The sequence below is a fragment of the Homo sapiens genome, chromosome 4 (assembly GCF_000001405.40).
Source record: "Homo sapiens chromosome 4, GRCh38.p14 Primary Assembly".
NCBI classification, from domain to species: Eukaryota; Metazoa; Chordata; class Mammalia; order Primates; family Hominidae; genus Homo; species Homo sapiens.
In genome coordinates, this window is record NC_000004.12 from 184,964,958 (window position 1) to 184,976,409 (window position 11,452).

General features: G+C 50.0%; 1 annotated feature.

Moving 5' to 3' along the window:
- Positions 542 to 1,042: an enhancer, noted in NCBI's record as "H3K4me1 hESC enhancer chr4:185886653-185887153 (GRCh37/hg19 assembly coordinates)". NCBI's record gives its function as "activates a minimal SCP1, AML or CMV promoter by ChIP-STARR-seq in naive H9 embryonic stem cells {active_cell/tissue: H9 hESC(naive)}" and the evidence as "EXISTENCE:reporter gene assay evidence [ECO:0000049][PMID:30033119]".

The following is an 11,452-nucleotide window of genomic DNA, read 5'->3' on the forward strand; positions in this document are numbered from 1 at the left end:
TTGTTTTCATACAGCTGTGCCCTGTCTCAATCTGTAATGGAATATAAATACATGCATTGATGTATGTATTTGAGTAACAGCCATCATCTGGGTACAAAGCACTAAGAGATCCGAGATAAGGCCTCTGTTGTTGACTTTGTATGTCCAGCACACCGCAGGTGTGCAGCCAGTGTGTGATGGCCAGGAGGGAGTGCCGGGACGGAGTGCCGGGATGGAGTGCCGGGATGGAGTGCCGGGATGAGAGCCGGGATGGAGCGCCAGGATGGAGTGCCGGGATGGAGCGCCGGGATGAGTGCCGGGATGGAGCGCCGGGATGGAGTGCCAGGATGGAGTGGCAGGATGAGTCCCGGGATGGAGTGCCAGGATGGAGTGCCAGGATGAGTGCCGGGATGGAGCGCCAGGATGGAGTGCCGGGATGGAGCGCCGGGATGGAGTGCCGGGATGGAGTGCCAGGATGGAGTGCCGGGATGAGTGCTGGGATGGAGTGCCGGGATGAGTGAGGATGAGTGCCGGGATGAGTGCCGGGATGGAGTGCCGGGATGAGTGCCGGGATGAGTGCCGGGATGGAGTGCCGGGATGAGTGCCGGGATGGAGTGCCGGGATGGGGTGCCGGGATGGAGTGCCGGGATGAGTGCCGGGATGGAGTGCCGGGATGAGTGAGGATGAGTGCCAGGATGAGTGCCAGGATGAGTGCCGGGATGGAGTGCCAGGATGAGTGCCGGGATGAGTGCCGGGATGGAGTGTCGGGATGAGTGCCGGGATGAGTGCCGGGTGAGTTCCGGGATGGAGTGCCTGGATGGAGTGTCGGGATGAGTGCCGGGATGAGTGCCGGGATGGAGTGTCGGGATGAGTGCCGGGATGAGTGCTGGGATGAGTGCCGGGATGGAGTGCCGGGATGAGTGAGGATGAGTGCCAGGATGAGTGCCGGGATGAGTGCCGGGATGGAGTGCCGGGATGGAGTGGCAGGATGAGTCCCGGGATGGAGTGTCGGGATGAGTGCCGGGATGAGTGCCAGGATGGAGTGTCGGGATGAGTGCCGGGATGAGTGCTGGGATGAGTGCCGGGATGGAGTGCCGGGATGAGTGAGGATGAGTGCCAGGATGAGTGCCGGGATGAGTGCCGGGATGGAGTGCCAGGATGAGTGCCGGGATGAGTGCCGGGATGGAGTGCCGGGATGAGTGCCGGGATGGAGTGCCAGGATGGAGTGTCGGGATGAGTGCCGGGATGCGTGCCGGGATGGAGTGTCAGGATGAGTGCCGGGATGAGTGCCGGGATGAGTGCCGGGATGGAGTGCCGGGATGAGTGAGGATGAGTGCCGGGATGAGTGCCGGGATGAGTGCCGGGATGGAGTGCCGGGATGGAGTGCCGGGATGGAGTGTCGGGATGGAGTGCCGGGATGGAGTGTCGGGATGGAGTGCCGGGATGGAGTGTCGGGATGGAGTGCCGGGATGAGTGCCGGGATGGAGTGGCAGGATGAGTCCCGGGATGGAGTGCCGGGATGAGAGCCGGGATGGAGTGCCGGGATGAGTGCCGGGATGGAGTGCCGGGATGAGTGCCGGGATGAGTGAGGATGAGTGCCAGGATGAGTGCCGGGATGAGTGCCGGGATGGAGTGCCAGGATGAGTGCCGGGATGGAGTGCCGGGATGGAGTGCCGGGATGAGTGCCGGGATGGAGTGTCGGGATGGAGTGCCGGGATGAGTGAGGATGAGTGCCAGGATGAGTGCCGGGATGAGTGCCGGGATGGAGTGCCGGGATGAGTGCCGGGATGGAGTGCCGGGATGGAGTGCCGGGATGAGTGCCGGGATGGAGTGTCGGGATGGAGTGCCGGGATGGAGTGTCGGGATGGAGTGCCGGGATGAGTGAGGATGAGTGCCGGGATGAGTGCCGGGATGAGTGCCGGGATGGAGTGCCGGGATGGAGTGCCGGGATGGAGTGCCGGGATGAGTGCCGGGATGGAGTGCCGGGATGAGTGAGGATGAGTGCCGGGATGAGTGCCGGGATGAGTGCCGGGATGGAGTGCCGGGATGGAGTGCCGGGATGAGTGCCGGGATGGAGTGCCGGGATGAGTGAGGATGAGTGCCAGGATGAGTGCCGGGATGAGTGCCGGGATGGAGTGCCGGGATGGAGTGCCGGGATGAGTGCCGGGATGAGTGCCGGGATGGAGTGCCGGGATGGAGTGCCGGGATGAGTGCCGGGATGGAGTGTCGGGATGGAGTGCCGGGATGAGTGCCGGGATGGAGTGCCGGGATGAGTGCCGGGATGGAGTGTCGGGATGGAGTGCCGGGATGAGTGCCGGGATGGAGTGCCGGGATGAGTGCCGGGATGGAGTGCCGGGATGAGTGAGGATGAGTGCCGGGATGAGTGCCGGGATGAGTGCCGGGATGGAGTGCCGGGATGGAGTGCCGGGATGAGTGCCGGGATGGAGTGCCGGGATGAGTGAGGATGAGTGCCAGGATGAGTGCCGGGATGAGTGCCGGGATGGAGTGCCGGGATGGAGTGCCGGGATGAGTGCCGGGATGAGTGCCGGGATGGAGTGCCGGGATGGAGTGCCGGGATGAGTGCCGGGATGGAGTGTCGGGATGGAGTGCCGGGATGAGTGCCGGGATGGAGTGCCGGGATGAGTGCCGGGATGGAGTGTCGGGATGGAGTGCCGGGATGAGTGCCGGGATGGAGTGCCGGGATGAGTGCCGGGATGGAGTGCCGGGATGAGTGAGGATGAGTGCCAGGATGAGTGCCGGGATGAGTGCCGGGATGGAGTGCCGGGATGGAGTGCCGGGATGGAGTGCCGGGATGAGTGCCGGGATGGAGTGCCGGGATGAGTGAGGATGAGTGCCAGGATGAGTGCCGGGATGAGTGCCGGGATGAGTGCCGGGATGGAGTGCTGGGATGAGTGCTAGGGCGCTCGTTTCTGCTTCAGGGCACATTCTCAAACGTACTTGTTTGTTCACAAGAACCCATTTTCTGCTGCTCTCTGCCTTCGAATCTAATGGCTTCAAATTTACACTAAAGTTGAAACACAGTGTTGATACTACTCGTTCTAAGATGAATGAGTTCTGGGAGTCGAATGTATGGTATGGTGACTAGAGGTAATGATACTGTATTGTATACCTGAAATTTGCTAAGAGAGTAGATTTTAAATATTCCCACTCTAAAACAAACAAAAGAAGGAAAGAGGAAAAGAAAAAAGGAAGAAAGGAAGGGAAGGAAGGGAAGGAAGGAAGGAAGGAGGAAGGAAGGAAGGAAGGAAGGAAGAAAGGAGGGAAGAAAGGAAAGAGGAATTCATTTTCTATATTGGCCTTGTTAACAGTTGTGGTGGAACATTAATATGAGATAATAGTATTTTTTAAAAGCTCAGGAATTACTTCAGAAATGATGTAATAGAATTCCAAATACCAGTTGGCTTTGGGGAAGAATGAAAGAAACACAGAGGCACAAATGGGTACCTGTAATATTTCTTTTCTCAAACATCTGAATCAAATATGTCAGAATGAGCAGTTTTAACTCACTTGCTTATCATGAGTGCTGTTCTCCATATTACTCCATAATTTTCTGCATTTTTGAGATACTTGATAGTAAAAGGAAAGAATGACCCGTCTCCCCACCAAAAACAGCAGCTGATATTAACAGTGTGGAAATTGAATATTAGAGGAAATCAACTGACAATCTATTCGAGCTTTTTCTAGAATCCCTTTACTAGGTTGTCAAACTCTTAGTAGTTCTACAACTGGCCTAAATCGGTTACAGCAAAAGAAGATAAAATATATGGGTTGGGTTTTCTTTCTCTTCTTCAATGACAAAGTTTGCCAGAAGCAAAGGCTGCCTGGACTCACCCAAATGAGGTGAGTCCTTCTTTCAGAACCACAGGCTGGAGGAGGTGCCTCCCTCCTAAGCAAGGAGTGGCCACACCCCTGGGCAGGGCAGGCCCTGGGAACAGGGGAAAGGTTATTCCAGGGCGGTGAGGAGGCAGCTGAGAAACCAGTCCTGGCACCGGCTTGGCCTGGCAAGTGCAGGGTATGTGCAGGCTGAGGGAGATGATCCCTAGAGCAAAGCCACTTTGGACTCTGGGTCATGAGGACCCCACGGCTGAGCTGACTCCATACCTGGGAGCCTGGCCTTCTCTTCCAGGGTTGCTGCAAAGCCCATGCCAGAGTCCAGGGCTGCGAAGTGGCTTCAGACCGCAGGTGTCAAGGCTGCCTTCTACTTAACTACCTGCATTGCTTCTCTGCATCAGTGACTCAAGACACAGTGGAGCCTCCTGGGTTCAAGGCCCTTCAAGGCACTAGGTGTCACCCCCATGGAGGGACATCCTTTATGGGACTCCAGAAATTCCCCTTGTTCCTGTCAGCACCGTTCAAGACTGATGCTCCCATCTCGTCTTTCACTGACAGTGGGGTTCTGCCTATAAGATAAAGGGTCAGGGGTTCAATTGGGTTTGTTGTTTTGAGGGAGAGGCAAACTGAGCCCCACATTCCTGCAACACCCCTTTTCTTGCCCTCTTGTCTAAATAGGGGGCATTTTCCAATGTTCCACCCTTTATAGTGGTGTTGTCACATAGAAAGCTCATATACTTGGGACATTGTTGGCATCCCCAGGTCCTTGGAGACCCTGTGGGCGCCGCCCTCATCTGGCTGAGTATTTCCTCCCATGCCTCCTACAGCTGCCCAGCATCAAGTTCAAAGCCTCATTTATCACCTGTCCTCCATGGCTGTCCTTCAGGATCCCGCATTTCTATTTTGGATACTGGGATCCCTCCATGGCCAGGCTGAGTGTCGCCTGCCCCTCGCTCGTCCCCACAGCCAGTCATGACCAGGCCATGCAGCCTCCCTCTGCAGCACCTCTCCAGTTGTCTTCACCTTTCACACTGTCCCTCGGGCCAGGCCTCACTGGGTGATGACCCAAATGGTCACTAGCAGGTCCCAAAAGGTCTCTCAGCCTCCAGCCTCATTCTTGAATCTACTGGGTACAGACTGGGCCTCCTGAGTCTCCTGGGAACTGGCTAAGTTACAAAGTGCTGGGTCTTGCCACACACCTGCTGACACCAAATCTTGGAGGTGGGACTGGAAAATCTGACTTCGAGTGTAAATCCCAATGCTCAGCACAGTCTGAATTCATTGTGCTAATCCATCACCAGGGGATTTGGTGAGAACGTGGATTTGGAGCCACACTCCTCAGGTTCAGATCCCGGGGTGATCACTCGCTGGTTGCATGACCTTTAACAGATTATTTAACCTCCCAGTGCCTCCGTTTCCTCATCTTTCTACTGGGCGTCAACATGAGGATCAAATGCCGCCATATGTGTGAAGTCTGTGGCATGTAGCATGTAGTCCAGCATGAAAGCTATTGAAGGTTGAGATATTCCCGCCCAGCACATCAGACGTGGAGGGACTTTTCATCCCAAAATGCCACTTTCATCAAGTCATGTTCTTCACTTAAAACTGTCCAATGCCTACCTCCAAAGACTAGAGTGCAGGAAATGAAAAAAATAACTTTACAGTGGAGAACCAGTCCTCTGGCCGGGTGATGAAGATAACATAGAAACCAGAAGGCAAACTGATGTATGGTGTGAGGAGCGGGGTACTGGACCTCCATGCTTCTCCAAAAACTGAGAACCCCTGTGAGAGCTGAATGAGAAAATATCATAAGGAAAATATCAAATCAACCCAAATTAAGGATTGTGCTACAAAATCCCTGACCAGGACTCCTCAAATTGTCTGGGTCATCAAAATCAAGGGAAGTCTGAGAAGCTGTCACATCAAGGGGAGTTGAGGGAGACGTGACAACTAAATCCAGTGTGGGGTCCTGGAACAGAAAAGGGGCATTAGGTACAAATTCATGAGATCCAAATCCAGCATGGACTTTAGTTAATGATAATGTATCAATACTGGTTCATTAATTGTAACAAATGTACCACCCTAATATGAGATATTCATAATAATAAGGGAAACTGATTGTGGAGTGTACTGGAATAGCTTTGCAACTTTGGATGGGTGCAAATTGGGTATTCTGGATGGAATCCTGCAAAAGGACAGTAGGGAAAACTAATGAAATCTTCATAACGTGAGGACTTCAGTTAAGAATATATCAATATTGGCTCATTAGTTGTGCAAATGTACCACAGTAATGTAAGATCTTAGCCCTAGGGGAAACTGGCTGAGGGGTATATGGGACCTCTCTGTATTATCTTTGCAACTTTTTGGAAATTCTAAATTTATTCCAAAATTAGAAAGTTCGCTTTAAAAAAAAAAGTCAGGACTCCCATAGTCTGTAGCCACGGCCACCTCCCTCTGCTCTCATTAGGAACCCACTCTTCTGCCTAGGTTGCTCCTCTAGGGCCTCAGCACCAGCTCCCAGCAGGTGTTTTGCTCTGGTCCCCACCTCGCTGAGCTCAGCCTCACTCCCACTCGTAAAAATGTAAGATCCCACCAGACCATGTGATATGGTTTGGCTGTGTCCCCACCAAAATCTCATTGTGAATTCACATGTGTTGTGGGAGGCACCCAGCGGGAGGTAATTGAATCATAGGGGCTGGTCTTTCCTGTGCTGTTCTCATGATAGTGAATAAGTCTCACAGGATGTGATGATTTTTAAAAGGAGAGTTTCCCTGCACAAGTTCCCTTCTCTTGTCTGCCACCATGTGAGATGTGCCTTTCACCTTCCACCATGATTGTGAGGCCTCCCTAGCCACATGGAACTGTATGTCCAATAAACCTCTTCCTTTTGTAAATTGCCCAGCTTCAGGTATGTCTTTATCAGCAGTTTGAAAACAGACTAATACACCATGGGAGCCCCAGGCAAGCATCTTTTCTTCCAGAATTCCTGCCCTGAGCCCTCAGGCGCCAATAGCTCCCTCCTCTGAGTTCTGATTCTTCCTCCCTCTTTCCTTCCTTCTGCATCTGCATTTTCCCAGTTATTGTTGTCAAATCCATCTCTCCCCCACCAACCTGCAAGCCCCTCAAGGACAGGATTGTCACCTTCCTTTGTGTTCCCATGACACTAACCACGTTTCTCTACCCCTCCAGGTTACCTTCCTCCATGTAAGAGAGGCTGTGCAAATGGTTTCAGGGTGTTTTTTTTTTTAAAGTTTTATCATGGTAAACAATACTTAACACAAATTTTACCATTTTAACCATTATTAAGTGAGCAGTTTGGTGGCATTAAGTATGTTCACATTGTTGTGCTACCATCAGCACCATCCATCTCCAGAGCTTTCTCATCTTCCCAACGGAAGCTGACCCCATTCCTCTCTCCCTCCCTCCAGCCCCTGGCAACCACCTTTCTGTTTTTGGTACTTATGAATTCAGCTCTTCTAGGAACCTCATATGAGTGGAATCCCACAGTGTTTGTCCTTTGTGACTGGCTGATTTCACTCAGCATGATGTCCTCAAGGCTTATCCGCGTTGTAGCATGTGTCAGAATACTCTTCCTTAAGGCTGGATAGGATTTCATTGTCTGTATCTGCTGTCATATGTTTGGTTTTTCATTTCCAAAGAGGACCATAATTAGCACAGGAAGGGTCCAAGGAGGCATGAGTGGAAGGTGTCAGGCTGAACTCCTGGCGTTGTCAACCCCTCCCTGCTCCATGGCTGCGTGGTCCATGGCAATGCAAAAAAGGTGAGCCTTCAGCCCTCTCTCCACCTCAGTTCAGGGCCGAGCACCTGGGCACCTTTATGCTGTATTCTCAGACATCTATTGCAGACATAAATAACATCAACAAATAATCAGATCCAATCTCACTGGGCTGGGCCCAAAAAGAGACCCATATATAAAGATGATTGTGGAATTCATTTCCTATCCACTCTCACTTATCCTCTGAGTATGAGTCTGCTCTTTGCCCCAAAGAAGAGAGGATCAAGGAAATACAGCATCCTACACACGACAATATAAGTAACAACAACTGAATATCCTCTTCTTCCCATTTGCCCCAAACCATATCAATTTATAGCAGATTGATTGAAACCTAGCCATGAATTTGCAAAGTCCCCTCACTCTGAACACCTCACTCACTGGTAGTAGTGTTGTATTGTCAGGAGTTCATAGAAGAGAACATTGATTGTATTAGTCAGATAAAGCAAAGGCAACTGCCCTAAGGATAAATCCTGAAATCTCAATGGCTTCACTCAACCTAGGATTCTGTCTTGCTCTTGTAGGTCAGGCGGCTTTCCTGCCTGGCCCTCCTCCAAAAGTCATTCAGGGTCTCCTTCCTTCTTGGTATTTCACCATCTTGGAGTTCCTTCCTTCTAGGCATGTGAGTAGAAAAGAGAGAGAAGACAGAGAAGGCGCTTGATCTACACAGCCACAAACCGGAAATGGCATGGCACTCCTGCTCACCTTCCATGGCAAGAGCGACCTGCGTGGTACCATCGAGAGGCGTGAGGGAGAACCTGGGAAAGGCATCCTTCCTGCACCTCCACAGGAGAAGAAAATGGTCTAATTACCACATAGCACCGACTCTGCTACAATAACATCACCGCTCTCTTGAGCTCAGTCGTCCTTTTTGAGGCCAGCAAAGTCCTCAGTTAATTTTTGGAAAAGTTGACAGGAAAGAGCTGTCCAGAAAATTTTGTCTTCAGGTTTCCTAGTAGTAACAGCCATCATTTACTAAATGTTTACTGCATATCACATATCAATCTGTATGTTTTAATGCATTAATTCATTTAATCCACCTAAGTACTTTATAATATGATTATTCTTATTTTACAGATAAGAAAAATATTTTTGGTCCCCTGTATTAGTTTGCTAGGGCTGCCACACACACACACATGCACAGTACCACAGGTTGGGTGGCTTAAAAAACAGATATTTTCTCACAGTTCTGGAGGCAAGAAGTCTGAGATCAAGGTATCAGCAGGCAGGCATGATGGATCACGTCTGTAATCCCAGTATTTTGGGAGGCTGAGGCAGGAGGATCACTTGAGGCCAGGAGTTTGAGACCAGCTTGGGCAACATAGTGAGACCCCCATCTTGAAAATAAAAACAAATAAATTAGCCAAGTATGGAGGCTGAGGTGGGAGGATCACTTGAGCCCAGGAGTTCAAGGCTGCAGCCAGGTATGATGGCAGAACCTGTCTCTTAAAAAAGAAACAAAAAAAGGCATCTGTGATGTTGATTTCCTCTAAGACCCTTTTCCTTGGCTTGTGGATGGCCACCTTCTTCTTTTTTTTTTTTGAGACAGAGTCGCCCTCTGTCACCCAGGCTGGAGTACAATGGCATAATCTCGGCTCACCACAACCTCCGCCTCCCGGGTTCAAGTGATTCTCCTGCCTCAGCCTCCCGAGTAGCTGGGATTACAGGCATGTGCCACTGCACCTGGCTAATTTCTGTATTTTTAGTAGAGGCAGGGTTTCACCATGTTGGCTAGGCTGGTCTTGAACTTCTGACCTCAAATGATCCACCCAACTTGGCCTCCCAAAGTGCTGGGATTACAGGCGTGAGCCACTGCGCCTGGCCCACCTTCTCCCTGTGTCTTTACATAGTCTTTCCTCTGTGTGTGCGTGCACATTTGTGTTTAAATTTCCTCTTCTTAAAAGGACACCAGCCATATTAGATTAGGGCCGCCCTAAAGGCCTCATTTTAACTTAGCTAAATGAACTCTTTGAAGAATTTATCTCCAAATATGGCTACATTCTGAAGTACCGGGGGTTGGGACTTCCACATAGAAATTTGTGTGTGGGGAGGAACACAGTTCAGCCCAGAACATCCCCTACTTTTTCTTATGTGAATTTATTCTATAAAACTATGCACAGAGATTTAACTGCAAGTTTTTTATTGCATATTAGTTTCTAATAATCAAAATATTAGGAATGGGTTCAGCAGCAATTAACAGAAACCCCAACTCAGAGTGGCTTCAACATAACACATAGTTCAGGTGTAGGTGGTCATTGATATTTGTCCAGTGGCTCTGTGAAAATCTCTCCCTGTTGGCTCATGCCTGTCACCTCATCAGCACATAATGGCTACCATAGCTCCAGACACCATGTCTACCTTTAAAGAGGAAAAGGGGAAAAGAAAGAATGATGGCATCTTCTGTCTCTTTATCAAGAAAGAAAAACTTCCCCAGAAATCACAGAAAACTTTATCTGATGTCTCATGGGTTAGAATTGGGTCTCTTATCCAACTGTAGCTGAATAACTGGGAAGTAGTGAGTTGTAGGGTGTATAAAGCCCTGGGATGTGGGTAGAAGAAAAGGAAAATCTGTATAGGGAATCACCGAGGCTCCCTTTCAAAGGTCAACATTACTAAAACATTCTAGATGAATTGGGATGGTTCCTATTCGTTGGGGAAGAAGTCAAGACAGGTGATGTGGGCTCAGCAAATGGATCCAGTAGCTCCACAGGGCATGGCTCAGCCAGGGCTCTCTGCTAGACTTGGCACCCTCTTTTGGAAGCAGTGGCTAAGTTATGAGTGTAGGCTTAAAAACAAGACACTAGTAGCTTTGGAAGCCTGATTGCAGGCATCACCGTGACTTGTGTGGGAAGCTTCTGCGCTAGGATCCACACCAATTTTCTTTTTTTCCTTTTTTTTTGAGATGGAGTCTTGTTCTGTTGCCCAGGCTGGAGTGCAGTGCCGTGATCTCAGCTCACTGCAACCTCCTCCTCCCAGGTTCAAATGATTCTCTTGCCTCAGCCTCCCAAGCAGCTGGGACTACAGGTGCCTGCCACCACACCTGGCTAATTTTTTACATTTTTAGTAGAGATGGGGTTTCACCGTGTTAACCAGGCTGGTCTCAAACTCCTGACCTCGTAATCCACCCGCCTCGGCCTCCCAAAGTGCGGGGATTACAGGTGTGAGCCACTGCGCCTGGCCAATCCATACCAATTTTCTACAACGACACTACAGCTAATAAGAGGGCAGGATAGCAGGTCAGCCAGGCCCCGGAGGGCTGCTTAGGCTCCCCAGCATCCTCTGTGTCTTGTGTTTGGAATAAGAACCCACCCTTCCGGAGCCCTGGGATTATCATGCAATTGAGGGGAAAGGAGACCCCAACTGCGATGAGCCAAGTCTCAAACTGTTAACCAAAAAATAAAAAATGAGTCTGCAATTGTGCCCCAAGTAGACTGTAAGTAAACATGCCAAGTAGCTTATATTTTCTAAAACGTCTACAATAAACATATTTTAATTTTGTAATAGGAAACAAAACATATTAAAGTGGTTTTTAAAAGAGTATAGTTATTACTGATCAAAATGAAAACAAGCCCAATTTTTAAATTATTTCAAGTTATGCTTTTCTTTTTTCTTTAATTTTTATTTTAGGTTTGGGGGTGCATGTGAAGGTTTGTTACACAGGGAAACACATGTCACGGGGGTTTATTGTACAGATTATTTCATCACCCAGGTATTAAGCCCAGTACCCAGTAGTGGTCTTTTCTTCTCCTCTCCCTCTTCCTACCCTCCCCCTTCAAGTAGACCTCAGTGTCTATTGTTTCCTTCTGTGTGTTCATAAGTTCTCATCAT